The sequence below is a fragment of the Homo sapiens genome, chromosome 8, assembly GCF_000001405.40.
Source record: "Homo sapiens chromosome 8, GRCh38.p14 Primary Assembly".
Classification (NCBI taxonomy): Eukaryota; Metazoa; Chordata; class Mammalia; order Primates; family Hominidae; genus Homo; species Homo sapiens.
The window spans coordinates 121668185-121685863 of NC_000008.11; the positions used below are offsets into that span (position 1 = coordinate 121668185).

The window sequence follows — 17679 nt, forward strand, 5'->3', positions numbered from 1 at the left end:
GACATTAAAAATCAGAAGGAGGTCCATATGCATTTAAAAAAATTAAAATATAATACCAATGTGCATGGAGTTTTGTTTTGCTTTGTTTTGAGACAGAATCTTGCTCTGTCACCTGGGCTGGAGTGCAGTGGTGCAATATCAGCTCACTGCAACCTCTGCCTCCTGAGTTCAAGGGATCCGTGCCTCAGTCTCCTGAGTAGATGGGATTACACCTGCACATCACCACACCCTGCTAATTTTTGTATTTTTCCTAGAGACGGGGTTTCACCATGTTGGCCAGCCTGGTCTTGAACTGCCCGCCTTGGCCTCCCAAAGTGCTGGGATTACAGGCATGAGCCACTTCACCCAGCCCACATAGATATTTTAATTGTGCAAATATTTTTTAGAAATGTAATGGGAGGGCCGGGCGTGGTGGTTCACGCCTATAATCCCAGCACTTTGGGGGCCCGAGGTGGGTGGATCACCAGGTCAGGAGTTTAAGACCACGAACCTAGCCAACATGGTGAAACCCCATCTCTACTACAAATACAAAAATTAGCTGGGCGTGGTGGTGGGTGCCTGTAATCCCAGCTACTCGGGAGGCTGAGGCAGGGGAGTTGCGTGAACCCAGGAGACGGAGGTTGCAGGGAGCCGAGATTGCGCCACTGCACTCCAGCCTGAGTGACAGAGTGAGACTCCGTCTCAGAAAAAGAAAAAAAAAAATGTAATGGGAGGCTCTTTTCTCTAAGATTTTTTTAAATCATTAAACATTTTCTTTTAAGTATTACTTTTACAAAAGATTTATATTAGAAGGTTTTTTTTTAAAAAAGTTCTTTAAAAACTTTTAAGTGCACAAAAACTAAAGCACATGTGAACAACACGGACTTATTTCCATTCTGCTTGCTTTCAAATCCAAACTTAGGGAAAAGGCTAAGCTCTCCCAGAAGATGCTTTCAGAAGTAAAGGCATCTGTAAAATTAGGGCAGTTCATGCATATTCCAGGCAGCTTGTTGATTACACCAAAACTTGTGTTCAGTTCATCAGCTCACTCCTAAAAAAGAATAGAGACTTTACAAAACCGAGAATAAGGTGAGGAGTCTTAGTACTGATTTGCCTGTCTCTACAATACTGCTTTTAAATCCGTTTATAATCACTCTTAAGTCAGCCCCACCCCATTCAATCCTATTTATTGTTTTAACTACAAATTTCTAGAAACGAAACTGACAATACACTTCCAGTAAGATGTAATGAGACTAAATTGTCAAATTAACAAGGCAGTGAGACACAGCAAAGGCAAATGATTTCACAAGCTGCTGTCAATTCCAGCTAAATCAATCCAGTGTATCCAATGGAATGGAACAGAGGCCTGCTGTGTTCTCTACTCTGGGAGATAAACAATGAAGATGACTTGGTTGACAGGAAGTCTCTAATCTAATACAGATAAGCCATAGAAGCCAGCCAAGTAGTTATATTCAGTGCTGCCAGGGAGGTGTGAGCAGGTTGTCACGGAATAGTGGAAGTTGGGGAGACGTATTTAGAAGGGAGAGAAGGGGACTGTGGGAGGCAGGTGGCTGGAGAATCCAGAAGACATGATGATGATCTGTGTATTCAGTTTGAATCTTGAAAGGAGGATAGGATTTCTAAAAGTTGAAAAGGAAGTGGCATTCAAAATGAAATAAAGTGCCTGTACAAAGGCATTGTTATCAAAACAGGAAAGTGTGGTTTGGCTGGGGTGCCCTTTTGTGAAGGGTCAGAGGAGGGAGCTGTCCATCTAAACCTCTTTGTAAAAGCCTTGAGCTAGCTCATCTAATCCTTGATCTAGAGGGTAAATAATATCAAATTACCTGTGCATTTTCTGCCAATTATATGTGATACTTTAAGAGTTATGTAGTTATAATGACTATAAATATGTAAAATTTTTACATATGCAACCTGCTAAGCATTTTACATTTTATCTTATTAAAAAACAAAATTTTGGCTGGGCATGGTGGCTCATGCCTTTAATCCCAGCACTTTGGGAGGCCAAAGTGGGAGGATCACTTGAGCCCAGGAGTTCGAGACCAGCCTGGGCAACACAACGAGACCTATGTCTTCAAAAAATTTAAAAATTAGCCAGGTATGGTGGCATGTGCCTGTAGCCCCAGGTGATTTTGAGGCTGAGGTTGGAGGATTAGTTGAGCCTGGGAGCTAGTGGCTGCAGTGAGCAGTGATCATGCCACTACACTCCAGCCTGGGTGACAGAGCAAGACCCCGTCTCAAAAAAAAAAAAAAAAAAAAGAGAGAGAAAGAAAGAAAGCAAAAAAAAAAAAAAAAAAACTACACACACAAAATTTCAGCAAATTGAATTTAAAGATCTAATTGGCCTTTGTTAGCTATTTATGCACTGGGCAGCGTTTCTTCTAAAGATTTAGATAAGGAACTCCTACGGACATGGCAGAATGGTTGGTTTTTATCAGATAGCTTGAGCAGGAATAAGGAAATGCATAATACAAGAAGCAGATTGGCTGACATCAGGTTATTTCTGGTTATTTTCCTTATTAGTGTTAAAGCAGAGGGGATTTCCTCATTCATGCTGGCTAAAACTGGCCTGTGTGGGAATTTGGCTATGATCTGTCTCCTGATTTCTCAGAAGATCAGATAAACAATGTGGTTTTGGTCTGATGATGTGGAATCTTAGCGTAAGTGGCTCCATTTTGATTTTGTCCGTTCTGTTGGGGCTCAGCCCAAAACAATGACCTCCCATAAATTTCAGTTCACAATCCTCAACACAGCAGGGAGGAAGGTTCCACCGTTAACTCTATTTTCCAGATAAGGAAATCGAGATGAAAAAGGTTAAGTAACCTGTCTGAGGTCCAAAGGTAGCAAGAAGATTTCAGATTCTAAAGTCACATGCCTAACTCTTCATATGTACTGAATGTGTATTACATGTCTGGCTTTTTGCTCAACAGTGGAATTATGTAAATGACTAAGACTGACAGTCTGTCCTCTCTGGGACCTTTTCTTGTGTACCCAATGATGTACCAGTTTAGTTCAGGTAGTGTAATAAAGAGAAATAAAGCCAGTAACAAAAAGCCAGTAATAAAAGGAATCTTAATGTTCGTTAATCGCAACTGATTAAGTAGTTAAAAAGGAGAGGGGGAGAAACCTGCCTGGAAAGAGAGCAGAGAAAAGAGAGGTAAAAATATCTGTGTGTCTATGATAGGATGAGCTAACCAGACTAATGGTAATGTAGTGTTTATGATAGGACATCCTGGAGAATAAAGAATAATTGTATGTATTAAATACCTGATACACTGAAAGCTACATGTTATAACGTGTATTAGTTTTTATAATTCTCATGACAAGCTTATGAAGTGGGTATATAATGGTCCTATTTTATAAATATGAAGAACATGAGGTGGGTATATAATGATTCCATTTTATAAATAAGAAAAATATAAGGTTTGATTGGTAACTTGTGACCATATATAAAACAGTAAAATCTGTCATGATCATGTCTCTTCCCTCCCTTTAACTAGTAACCTTAGTTAAAACTTTCTGCTGCAGATTAGCAATAAGTATTTGAAACCACAGCAACCCCAGAAACATTTAGAACACAATAAATGTATGTGGGATGCAAGTGTATCCAAGAACACAGTGTAATTCGGGACAAGAAGGTTTGAGCAGCACTTCGTTGGAGGATTCAAGAGCTTAAGTGAAGGCTTGAATAAGAGCTCCCAGGTAGACAAGCTAGGCTTTCTTCAAAAACGGAAAAAACAGTTTCTCTGTAAAGTTGGCAATCTGTAGAGAAAGGATTCAGCGAGTTACCCTCTCAACTTCAATTTTGCAATTTGTCTTTCTGGTACTTAACAACAACAGCAACAATAATTACTATTTGTTGAGCACGAACAGGGCAAAATGCTATGTTGACTTCTTTTCATACCTCACCTGGAATCCTTTCAATTCAGGTGAGAATCATCTTCTGTTTTGTAGATGAAAAAGCTGTGGCTCAGAGACTTTATGTGGCTTGCCCAATTTGCTAAGGGTTAATAGAGCCAAGATTAAACTCATATTTTTTTTTTCCATTAGACCATCTTATAGTCATCTGATTCTTATTTCATCTTACCATGAGAAACCAATGGACCACACTGAGCTGATGTGATTCCAGTCAAAAGCAGATAAATTGTGCGTCAGTTGACATGCAGCCTTGTTTATGCTAAAAGTGGCGAGAAATAGCTGGGTTTCCTGAGGTACTGAAATTGGTGTTGGATCTCTATCCTTCTCCATTAGTGATTTGTATTGGGACTAGATTTTAAACATTTCTCTGTGTTTTGATTTAATCATCTGTAACACAAGGATGTTGGATTAGAAATCTAAAATCCATCACAGCTCTGTGATGGTTTGACTCTTAGCTTCTATCTTCTGTTTCCTACAGGACTAAACACCTCAATAGCCTAGGTGTTATGGATTTTAGGTTCTGGGCTGGTGATTTTTGGAGACCTACCAAAAGAAAAGAGCATCTTCTGTTCTTAAGGGCAGCTTGTCTCTTTCCTCCCTCAAGATGTTGTGCTTAAAGTGTTTCTCATGCTGAAGAGATGAATGAGCAACTCCTAGTTATCTTTAGGTTACCTGACTTTGTGAGCTTATCAGTTTGTCCTGTTTGATAGTTCCACTGTCCTAAACAGTAAGTTGGACTTTGTGGCTTTGTAGCTTCCTCACAAATCATCACATTTGAAAACCGGAAATATAATAGAAAAAATTATCTCTTATTCCCAAGAGATAAGAAAAAGCTCCAAGAAGCTCGTTTGTTGAAAAGCACTTAAGAACACGTTTTAGGGATCCTCAGAAATCTACATTCCAGCCTGACTCCACATCTACCAAGCAGAATCTGAAGGAGTTCAGTCTGCTTTCTCTCCTCCACACTCAACTGATAATGCAAAAATGTCGGAGTTGAAGCAGCTGTGGCATGCCTCTATCAAGCTGTCTCGGAATTGGAAAGTGGGAAGAGGCATTTCAGAGAGTCAAGATATAATCTAGGGTTCAAACTGAACCAGGTCTCTAGCCAGATCCAGGCTTGGTCAGTGTCTGAACATGGCAGCCAAGTTTCCATCAGCTTTGCTATAATTAACATCTGTATAGAGAATCATTTCTTAGTCATAGAAAATGAAACAAAATAGGAAGTTAACTAGCTGTTAGAGCTTGGATTTCATTTCTGGATAAATCAGTAGTCATCTCACAAAGATATTCTTTTTGTGCATAATCTCAAACCAGCTAAAAGAAATGGGATGAAATAAGAGAAGGTCTGTTAGCAGCTGCTCTTAAATTTCCCCCTGTTGTCAGGACTTGTCTTAGTTTGGGTTTTGAACTCTTTTAAGTGGTGGTTGCCATTTTCAACTTTAGATAACCCCATAAATCTGGAAATAGTTAATGTGATTCATCTGGGAATCTGTTATTGTAATGACCTGTGTCCAAATGTCGGTTTTATAGTCATACCTATTCCAAGAGCTGTGTTCTGTGAAAGGATGGCAAGTCATGGTTTCTGCAAACCTGAGTCACTATTTCTACCTACATAAAGCCTATGATTTAACCTGAGTTTGAATTTGGCTTTTCTTTAAGGCTCCAGGCTGAGTTAGGACTGCTGGGGTGGAGATTAGGGTTACAGTGCGGGAGGAAGGACTTTAGCTCATTGAGATGAGTAAAAAGTGGATCAGCCATTAGTAAGAAGACATTTTAATTGTTACAAGGTTACAAATGTTTCAAAGAGTTATTTTTGTAAGCTCCCTTTGTGATATGAAACCTGAGGCATTTTTTTTCCCTGAAGATAAAAGACAGTAAGAGTTTTAGCAATGCTGACACACCTTCTCCTCTTCCTCTTCAAAAACTTCATCGCCTTCATCTCAGTTCATCAAAAATAAATTGAGGCTCTGTTTTGTAAAAAGCTCCCCTCTGAGAGGTTATAGATATGAAGAGGACAGAGTGCCTGCTCTCAGGGCTCACGGTCTTGTGGGGAAGACAGACATGTATACTGTAATTCTCAATCAGGGTGAACTAGGACGAGTGCAGAAGTCATTTCCTCTTGGAATCCTTCTCTGGCTTCCCCAATGTGAGTTTTTGACCCCATAATACTGTGCTTGTGGCCAAGGATGCCTGTTGCCAATGGGTATCCATTCTTCCCTTCTTTTTAGAACCAGAACTTCAATTTTATTTGGGGTAACTTTGTACATACTACAATAATATATTTCCCAGTATCCTTTGCAACTACATGTGGCCATGTGACTAATTTTTGGCCAATAAAATGTGAGTGTAAGTACTGTATGGGAGCCACCAAAGGGACCTGACTCAGCGAGGAGGACTTCCCCTTTTGTGTTCCTCCTTGTGATGGCCTATCCTGTGAGATGTGTTGGCTAGGTATCCACGAGCTACTATAGCTTGGTCTATGAGATGACCTTGAGCATGGAAGCCATGTATTGAGGATATCAGAGCAGAAAAACAGGAATGTCATCATCTGTAACACCGAATGTTGGATTAGAAATCTGAAGTCCGTCATAGCTCTGTGATGCTTTGACTCTTAGCTTCTATCTTCCATTTCCTATGGGACTAAACACCTCAACAGCCTGTGTTATAGATTCCTGAGAACTTAGTGGAGATGCCCTATCAGACCAGAACTATTCTACTGGCAATAATTTTTACATGAGAGAGAAATGTATTTATATATTTTATAAGTTATGTTGGGTTTTCTTTTAAGTGCAGCTGTGAACCCCAAATATCTGACAGGTCTCAATCAGTTTAGGAAGTTTATTTTGCCAGGGTTAAGGATGGGCCCATGACAGAGCTTCAGGTGGTCCTGATGACATGTGCCCAACATGGTTGGGGCACAGCTTGGTTTTATACATTTTAGGGAGATATGAGACATCGATCAGTATGGGTAAAATGTACATTGGTTCTGTCTGGAAAGGCAAGACAACTCGAAGCGGGGAGAGGGCTTCCAGGTCACAGGTAAATGAGTGACAAATAGTTGCATTCTTTTGAGTTTCTGATTAGCTTTTCTAAAGGAAGCAATCAGATATGCATTTATCTCAGTGAGCCTAGGGATGACTTTGAGTTCTGTCTGTCCTCTGTCTCCTTGTGGGCAAATTGTGAGACAGGTACGTGGCTATCTTTTTTAGGCACACAATGGGAGGCAGGTTTGCCTTAAGCAAGTCCCAGCTTGACTTTTCCCCTTCATTTAGTGATTTTGAGATCCTGAGATTTATTTTCCATTCACATGGCCAAACCTAATCATAACTCATACGTCTGCCATAAAACTTAACACACTGTATTTGCTTATTTGGTTTTCTAATTCTCCATATAGAGGGACTTTATTTTTACATTTATTTATTTATTTTCAGACAAACTCTCACTCTTTCGCCCAGGCTGCAGGGCAGTGGCATGATCTTGGCTCACTGTAACCTCCACCTCCTGGTTTCAAACAATTCTCATGCCTCAGTCTCCCCAGTAGCTGCACCACCATGCCCAGCTAATTTTTTTGTATTTTTAGTAGACACAGGGTTTTACCATGTTGCCCAGGCTGGTCTCAAACCCCTGAGCTGAGGCAATTCACCTGCCTGGGCCTCCCAAAGTGCTAAGATTACAGGTATGAACCACCACGCCCAGCTGGGACTTCAATCTCATTAAAAGAATAGGCCTTATTTTTTTAGTCCTCTTTGTGAAGATTTATGTATTAAATTAGCATGTACAGGAGTTCACTCTGAACATGTAGTGGGTGAACAGGGCCAGGAAAGATAATCTTCAAAATTGGGAGGACCGTGTTATGTCCAAAACATTATCTGAACGGGGACTTGAAGGGTATACTGGATCGTAGGAATTCACAGGCAGAAGGCTAAGGACTCCTAAAAGGAAGAAACTGCACCAACAGTGGCTCAGAGGCAGGGTCAAGGAATCAGTTGAAATTTGAGGAATAAAGAATGATAAGAACTTGCTTTAAGAGAGTATGCCAATTATTTATTAATTTGCTCTTAGCTTGATTCCCTTTATTCTGTACTCTGCTATGTATTTTAGGGAAGTTTGGATCCTGTAAGCTGTATTTTCAAAGTGCTCTTTCTGGGAAGCACCGGAAAAAGATTGAAAGTCAGAAGGAGGAAATAAGAAACTCTCTTCTTTATTCTGGTTTCTGGCTACAACTCTTACAGTAGTGGCGGTGGCAAAGCAAACAGTGGTGAAAGAATAGGTGCAAGCAACAGAGGTGAAGGTGGCCCTGCAGAGGCAGTGCCACCATGGTGGTGACTCCAGTGGCAGCAGCAGCCAGGGAGAGAAAGATCCTGGGTCCCCACTCGGGAAGCTCAGAAAAAACAAGAGCAGGCTCAGCAGCGCAGAGCCCTTTGCCTCTGGGTTATGCACTTGTTCTGCAGCCAGGGTAGTAGCACTTTCACCAAAAGTCTTTAACTCATGAGTGCCCTAACCTTTTTTGCTTTTCTTTCTTTTTTTGAGAGAGGGTCTTACTCTGTCACCCAGGCTACAGTGCAATCGTGCAAACATGGCTCTCCGCAGCCTCCACCTCCTGGGCTCAAGCAAATCTCCCACCTCGGGCTCTGGAATAGCTGGGACTACAGGTGTGTGCCACCATTCCCAGCTCATTTTTATTTCATTTTATTTTATTTATTTATTTATTTATTTATTTATTTATTTATTTTTAGTAGAACTAGAGTCTCCCTATGTTGCACAGTCTGGTCTCAAATTCCCAGGCTCAAGCCATCCTTCTGCCTTGGCCTCCCAGAGTGCTGGAATTACAGGAGTAAATGAGTAAATGAGTAAACCACTGTACCTAACCATTTCTTCACTTTTAAAAATGGAGTTTATGATGATTGAGACCCTTAATTTTAACTTAATAAACTTTATCATTCTTTTACCCTTCAATAAAAGTCTTTTGATAATTTTTTGTGAAATAATTTTCTACACCAAGATGGTAAAGATAGTCTTCCATATTTCCTTCTAAAAGTTTTACAGGATTGCCTTTTATATTTGGCAATAAGTTATGAACATTGACTAAATTGATTTCAGTTAAATTGAAAATTGATTTTTTGATTGGATGAGATAGGGATTCAATGTCATTTTCAGTCATATGAGTTTAAACTTGCTCCAGCATACTTACTAAAAAGCCTTTTCTTTCCAGTGGTTCCATAATTTCATCTCTGTCATATATTTAGTATCCATACATGTATGAGTTTACTTTTGAACTATCTGTTCTACTTGATATTGTTTATTTACAATTATCTGTGCTAATACCACACAATCTTAAATATCATAGTTTTATAATAAGTCTTGTGTATTAGTTAGAGTTTTCCAGAGAAATAGAAGCAACTGTGTGTGTGTGTGTGTGTGTGTGTGTGTGTGTGTGTGTAAATATCTATCTATCAAGAGATTTTAAGAAATTGTGAGGGCTGGCAAGTTTAAAATATGCAGGGCAGGCTGGCAGGCTAGAGATTCAAGATCCTGGGAAGAGCTGATGTGGTAGTCTCAAGTAGAAAGGCAGTCTGAAGGCAGAATTTCTTCTTCCTTAGGAGTCCTCAGTCCTTTTAACTTAAGGCCTTCAACTGATTAGATGAGGTTTACAAACATTATGGAGAATAATCTGCTTTATTGAAAGTCTACAAATGTAAATGTTAATAATATCTAAGAAAATACCTTCACAACAATATCGAGACTAGTGTTTCTTTGACCGATCATCTGGGCACCGTAGCCAAGCCAAGCTGATATAAAATAAACCATCACAATCAATATGTGGTAGAAAATTCTCCTCACATTTTTCTTTTTCTTTGAGAATCTTGGCTACCCTTAACCTTTTACATTTTCATAAATAATTTAAAATCAACTTGCCAATCCAGGAAGATACCTTAGAAATATTTTGAAAGAGATTGTCCTGAATCTGTAGTTCAATTCAGATTTATTGAAAAGCAGATGTGGGATACGAGAGGACAAGATGAGTCAATTAGGACTTTAAGGTATTTATCCTGAGCAAGAGAAAGGATGGTTAGGACAGGTTTAGGAAAGAAGACCTAGAGTTTGCTTCTGAACATACTGAGTGGGACATATAAATTTGGAAGTTGTTAGCAAAAAATGGCAGTGAAAGTCATGAAATTGGATGGGATCTTCCAGAAATGGATGCAGAAAGAACAGAAGTAGTGATAGGATTAAGCCTTCAGCATTCAGTGTTTAGAGATCTGCAAGATAAGGAGGACCTAAAAAAAGAAAACCAAGTACAGTTACTGAGTTAGGAAAACCAAGAAAGTGTGGTTTCCTAAAAAGCTGTGCTAGAAAAATATTTCAAAGAGGGGAGAGTGACCATTGATCCAAAGCCTACTGATAAATCAAATAGGCTAAATACATCATCATTGATTAGGTTTAAGGCAGTGCAGATCATTGGATATTTTGGTAACGTGGTGGGGGCTGTATCATCTGACTAGAGTGAATTTTAGAAAAAGTGGATTGAAGGGAATTATAGATTACATTTTCTATAAATTTTATACTATAAAATCACAACAAAGTGGTGCTTCAGGAGACTGCAGTATCCTGGAAGATGGTGGTTTTTGTTATTTGTTTAGATGAGAAAAATATTTCTAGACAGAAACAATAACTGATAATTCATGAGAGAGGGAAGAATTGATAAAGCATGTCTCTAGGTAGTCTAGCTTTTAATATTTTCCCTATGTATTTTACTCTCATAAAGGAATTTTTATAGCAATAGCTTTCTATGTAATTTATTCTCTGCAGTTACACTGTAAACTCTTTGTAGGCAGGAATGAGGATTGAACTTTATGCTTGGTGGTCAGTAATAGGAGTTTGTAGTTGATTGATTAATTGATTAGTATCATATAGTGCTAATGATTATGGGATGCCTAATGAATTAATGGCTCCCAAGGGCTTTGTAAAGCTGAAGCTAGGAGTGGGGCTAATTATTCTTAAACACGAATGGATGGCTTTTTTTTTTTTTTTCGAGACAGGGTCTCATTCTGTCACCTAGACTGGAGTGCAATGGCATGATCTCAGCTCACTGCAACCTCCACCTCCCAGGCTCAAGCAGTTCTCCTGCTTCAGCTTCCCAAATAGCTGGGACTACAGGTGAGCATCACTACCACCCGGCTAATCTTTGTATTTTTAATAGAGACAGGGTTTCACCATGTTGGCCAGGCTGGTCTTGAACTCCTGACCTCAAATGCTCCACTCACTTCAGCCTCTCAAAGTGCTTGGAGTACAGGCATGAGCCACGGAGCCTGGCCCAAAGGGATAGCTCTCTAATGATGGGATTTTAGAAACCTGTAGCAAGGGATTAGGAGAATGGGACAGGAATTCATCCTAGTCTTTACCACACGTTCTGACTAAAATAACATGTTTCCTGTCATTAATGCAAATAACTACTAAGCTCTCCTTGTGAATGATTGAATGATAAAACTTAGCATTGCTAGTCATAAGCATAAATAAGCAGACATGCAGTATACCAGAGCTTCAGTGACAGATTTGCCAAGCCTACTTGCACATTAAGAAAGCAATATCCACACCTCTATTCCCTGGGATGATTCACTTCCTAAACAAAGTCCCCCTGATATGCTTTCTTGAAGAACAGAGCTTTGTCACTGACTTGCAATTGGAGAGGTAGGCCCTGGGTAGTCAGAAATTCCTTGAGTTTACCCATGACTAACAAGAGAGGTCATAATAGCAAGGCTCTCTTCCACTCCCTTCTAAAATAAATTTTCTTCTTACAGGGTCTCCAATATTTGAGAACTGACACATTCAATGTAAAAATAATCTGAGTAAAACCATCATCTAGTCCCTTTCCTTTGAGACCCATTTTTTTTTTCCTCATCCACATCCTACCTATAAGGTAACAACCATCTTTAAACAGTCTCCTTTACAACTTGTTAGGGAACAAAGTGAAATATTGCTAAGGCAGGAGGGAAAGTTAAAAACTAAAAAGAAAATCTACGATTTTGTGAAAATGTACACATTTCATTTCTGCTCTAAACGTGAAATAACTTGTCCTATGGCAATATTCTGTGTAGGATAATGAGCCATATACTGTGGAGTGCTTCAGACATTGTTTCTTCCAAGGTTTATTTAATAAGCATGTCTTGATTACCTACTTTTATGAGTTTATGGATGGGTGAATAAATATTTGCCTTCCTTTTCCCACTGCCATTGCCTCAGTGGAAGTGCCGATAACTGCTCCTGTGAATGAGGGTAGTAACCATTCAACTAAACTTCCTTCTTTTAATCCAGTGGCATTCACACGGATTTGCTGGCACGACCTACAAAAGAATTTTGGAAAAACTTTTTTATCCCTTCACAGATTTCTAAACTGACACCTAGACATTTTCATTTTAAGTTTGCATAATTGCAAAACATGTAATATCTCACCTTATAAAATGGGCATTAAAGATTGTTGTATTGCTTTAAAGAATACCTTATGGAGGCCAGGCCAGGCGCAGTAGCTCACACCTGTATTCCTAGCACTTTGGGAGCCTGAGTTGGGCGGATTGCCTGACCTCAGGAGTTCAAGACAAGCCTGGACAACATGGCGAAACCCCATCTCTACCACAAATACGAAGAATTAGCTGGGCGTAGTGGTGCGTGCCTGTAATCCCAGCTACTTGGGAGGCTGAGGCGTGAGAATCGTTTGTACCTGGGAGGCGGAGGTTGCAGTGAGCTGAGATCATGCCACTGCACTCCAGCCTGGGCCACAGAGTGAGATTCTGTCTAAAAATAAAAATAAAAAAAGGAATACCTTATGGAATTTAAGTTCCAGAATGATTTGATATATTAAATTACAAAAATTACACCTTTCTTAAAGTATAATTCACATACCATATAAAGAACCCATTTAAAGTATCCAATTCCCTGGACACTTTCAGTAGTCTTTAGTGTATTCACAGGATGGTGCAGCATCTACCACAATCTAAATTTCGAATATTTTTGTCACCCCTAAAAAAAGCTGTATACCCATTAGCAGTTTCCTCCTCCCTCCCTCCCTCCTTCATAATCTTCCCTCCCTTCAGCCCTAGGAAACTAATTTACTTCACTTTATGTAGATTTTCCCATTCTGGACATTTCATATAAATTGAATTATACAATTATGAGTCATTTGTGACTGATTTCTTTCACTTAGCATGTTTTCAGAATTCATCTATGTTATAACGTGTATCAATTCTTTATTACTTTTTATTGCTAAGTATATTTCATTGTATGCATATGCCACCTTTTTTTTTTTGAGGCAAGGTCTGGCTCTATTGCCCAGGCTGGAGTGCAGTGGCATGATATCAGCTCACTGCAACCTCTGCCTCCTGGGCTCAAGCCATCCCCGCAGCCTCCCAAGTAGCTGGGACTACAGGTGTGCAACACCATGCCAGGCTAATTTTAGTATTTTTTTTAGGGACAGTGTTTCGCCATGTAACCCAGGATGGTCTCAAACTTACGAGCTCAAGTGATCTGTCCACCTTGGCCTCCCAAAGTGCTGGGATTACAGGTGTGAGCCACCGTCCCCTGCCTTGCATATACCACCTTTTATTTATTCATTCATCAGTTGAACATTTGGGTTGTTTTCAGTTTTTGACTATTTGAATAATACTACTATGAACATTCATGTACAGGTTTTTTGGGAAGCAGCTTTTCTTTTGGGTAAGTACATACCAATGAAATTGCAGGGCTATCTGGGAAGTTTATGTTCAATCTTTTGAGAAACCAAAAATAATGCTGTTTTTCAAAGCAGCTGCACCATTTTATATTTCCACCTGCAAAGTACAAGGGTTCTAATTTCTTCATATCTTTTTTTTGTTTGTTTTTGTTTTTTTGGTTTTTTTTGAGGTGGAGTCTCACTCTATTGCCCAGGCTGGAGTGCAGTGGCCGCGATCTCCGCTCACTGCAAGCTCCGCCTCCCAGGTTCATGCCATTCTCCTGCCTCAGCCTCCTGAGTAGCTGGGACTACATGCGCCCGCCACCACGCCCGGCTAATTTTTTTCTATTATTAGGAGAGACGGGGTTTCACCGTGTTAGCCAGGATGGTCTCAATCTCCTGATCTCGTGATCCACCCACTTCGGCCTCCCAAAGTGCTGGGATTACAGGTGTGAGCCACCGCACCTGGCCAATTTCTTCATATCTTTTCTAATATTAATCTGTCTTTTTGATTAGAGGCATCTCAACGAATGTGGAAAAGTAACTCAACTCATTGTGGTTTGGATTATGTAAAGATTAATGATGTTGAGCATTTTTTCATGCATGTGTTGCTTATTTGTATATCTTCTTTAGAGATATGTCTATTCAGATCCTTTGCCAACTTTTAAGAATTGGGCTACTTGTCATTTTATTACTGGGTTACAAGTCACTTATACATTCTGGATACAAGTTCCTCATCAAATATATGCTTTGCCAGTGTTTTCTCCCATTTCGTTTGTTGTCTTTTCACTATCATGATGTTTCAGTGTGCAACACAAAATTTTTTTTAACCAAATATATCTAATTTTTCTTTTGTTGCTAATGTTTTTGGTGTAGCATGCAAAAATATATTGCCAAACCCAAGGTCATAAAGATTTTACTCCTAAGGTGGCTTCTAAAATTTAATAATTTTTGGCTTTTACATTAAATCCATAATCAACATTAATTCTTGTGTACGTGTGGCATAGAGGCTCTCCTCCATTCTTTTGCATGTGGATATACAGGTGTCCCAGCACCATTTGTTGCAAAGACTTTGTTTCCCATTGAATTATCTTATAACCCATTGTTAAAAGTCAACTAACAAAAATGTAACCAAATGTGAGGTGGTGTTGTTGTTTTTCTTTTTTTGTAGACTTTTAATTCATTCTATTTAAATAGCTATTCTTGTGCCATTACCACTATTCTTGATTAGTATAGCTTTGTAGTAAATTTTGAAATTGGGAAGTGTGAGTCCTTCAATTTGACCTTCTTAGTAAGCATGGTTTTGGCTATTCTGGGTTCTTCGGATTTCCAGAAACATTTTAGGGTCAGTTTATCAATTTCTGAAAAAATCCAGCTGGGATTTTGATAGGGATTGTGTTAAATTTGTAAATAAACTTGTTGAGTATTTCTACATTTTCAATATTAAATGTTACAATACCTAAACATAGGATGTCTTTCCATTTATTTAAAAGTTGCTTGCAACACAATGTTTTGTTGCTTTAAGTATACAAGTCTTACACTACTTTGTTAAGGTCTTTTCCTAATCATTTTTTATGCTATTATGAAAGAATTTTTTCTTTAATTTCATTTTGTATTGTTCATTGGTAGCACAGAGAAATACAGGTAATTATTGTATATTGATTTTATATACTACAACCTTTCTGATTATTAGTTCATGAGTTTGAGTAATTTTTTAGTGGATTCTTTAGAATATTCTGTATACAAGATCAAGTCATATTCAAATAGAGATAGTTTTCTTTCTTTCTTTCATTTGGGATGCTGTGTATTGCTTTTACTTACCTAATTTCTACAGCTAGACCCACCACACAATGTTGAATAGAAGTAGCTAGGGCAGATTTCAATGTCTTGTTCCTGATTGTAGGGGAAGAGTTTCAACCTTTTCTCATTAAGTGTAATAGTAACCTACATGTCCTTCATGAGATTTAAAATTTTTTTCTTCTATTTCTAGTTTTCTGAATGTTTTTTAAAATCATAAAAGGATGTTAGATTCTGTTAAATGTCTTTTCTATGTCTATTGACATGATCACGTGGTTTTTGTTCTGTATTGTAATTATAAATGAGGTTTTGCATTGATTGTTTTTCAAATATTAAACAACCTTGAATTCCTGGGATCTGTCCATGGTTTTCAAAATGTCTATGGCTACTCATTGCCTAAACTTTAAATTAACATGACATTACAAGGCTTATCACAAATAGACTCTTGTCTAGCTAACAGTTAGGTTCTCCCTTTTGATTCCTTAGAGCAGTCACAGGACTATTGATTGTTTTATACTATAAAGACAGTTTCAGTCTCCTTTTCTTTCTTTGTGCTACTCCTTCTGTCTGTAAAGCCCTTCCCATACTCCACTCCAATTTTTTTCAGTATTATCTATAATTCCTTCATATTCTCCCTTCTCTGTAAAGAATCTCCCCACCACTTCTTAAATTTCTTTGCTCTTACAGCGTGATGTATACATCTCTAATTTAGTTCTTATTTTATGGCCCATAATGTGATTTGCTAATTGTGTAACTGTCTCCCCTTCCAAACTGTAAACTTGTGAGCTTGGATTATATCTTCTTTCCATTTCTAATATCAGCTAGAGAGATTCAAAAGCCATTACCAAGTTAATTTGCATATTTAGATTTCTCAAGAGTACTCACCATGATCTAGGTGGGTTCTACTATCTCCTAAACTCAGGTCACTCCTCTCAAGTCTTGGAGGGTCATTGATTATCTTCTCAGAAAGGGAAACAGTATCCCCCTTGAAGAAAAACTGGGAACTAATTTTTTATATGAAAATAATATCACAGAAGATCTGGACTATTAAAAAATATTTCTCATCATTCTAATAAAATAGAATAAACTCTATCATTCCTTCAAGCCATTTTCTGCATGTATATACATTTTCACATCAATGAAACCATAGAATACACACAATATGAAAGTCTGCTTTTCTCAATTAATATAAGAAAATGTATGTTGTTTCTTAAATATCATTTACAGCTGTAAAATATTCTGTTGAGGATGCCACCTAATTCAATTAACCATTCTCCTGTCCTCAAATATTTCCTTCCTCCTTCTTTTGGGGTTTTATAAAGAACAATATGGTAAACATCTGTGTGCATGTAAGTTCTTGCTTGCTTTCTTTTTTTTTTTTTTTTTTTGAGACAGAGTCTTGCTCTGTTGCCCAGGCTGGAGTGCAGTGGCGCGATCTCGGCTCACTGCAAGCTCCGCCTCCCGGGTTCATGCCATTCTGCCTCAGCCTCCCGAGTAGCTGGTACTACAGGTCCCCACCACCATGCCCAGCTAATTTTTTGTACTTTTAGTAGAGACGGGATTTCACCATGTTAGCCAGGATGGTCTCGATCTCCTGATCTCGTGATCCACCTGCCTCGGCCTTCCAAAGTGCTGGGATTACAGGCGTGAGCCACCGTGCCCAGCCAAGTTCTTGCTTTCATTTGGATTATTACTTCAGGCTAGATTGATTTCTCAAATTAGTGGAATTAACTAGGGTCAAAGGATATAGTTAAATTACCATTTTTTTAAAAAAAGAGTACTTTTTTTTTTCTAAATTTCAGGGTCATAGATATAGCTAGTAGGACATTTTTAGAAATTCTTCATTTATTAGATGGGGAAATTGAGAATCTCAGAAACAAATTGATTTGCTCAGTGTTGTACATTTAATGATACAATAGATTAGGATCGAGATATATATTATACAATAAAGTGGGACAAAAACCAATTTGAGCATATTAAACAACTTGTTTTGTTTTTGTTTTTTAAAAATCCATTCCAATCTCTTTAAAATATAGACACTGAATTAAATAGGCACTAAAAGCATCTTGACTCTTGGCTGTTATTTTTATAGTAAGCATATTTTGGACAAAGAGGTAAGTTATATTTTGTACACTTTAGCAAATTAGGGCTGGACGACAGAGGAGAAGGGCATACAAATATAAGAAAAGACAGAAATTATATTTCTTTAATTTTCTAAGTGAAAAAGGAAGTAGAATATTTGAGTAATGTAGAAAATGATAGAT

General features: G+C 38.4%; 1 long non-coding RNA gene across 5 annotated transcripts in view; it reads right to left on the reverse strand.

Moving 5' to 3' along the window:
- Positions 1 to 763: 763 nt before the first annotated feature.
- LINC02855 (long intergenic non-protein coding RNA 2855) overlaps positions 764 to 17679 on the reverse strand; it is a 28610-nt gene continuing 11694 nt past the window's right edge. For 2 of the 5 annotated variants that reach the window (NR_183456.1, NR_183457.1), the window contains exons 2-3: positions 12093 to 12257; positions 764 to 1030 (exon numbers count right to left, since the gene is read on the reverse strand). This is a non-coding gene — a long non-coding RNA (long intergenic non-protein coding RNA 2855). Of the gene's footprint in view, positions 1048 to 3588; positions 3760 to 12092; positions 12258 to 16300; positions 16420 to 17679 lie in introns of those variants that run through there. The other 3 variants (NR_183455.1, NR_183454.1, NR_183453.1) reach the window with 3 other exon arrangements.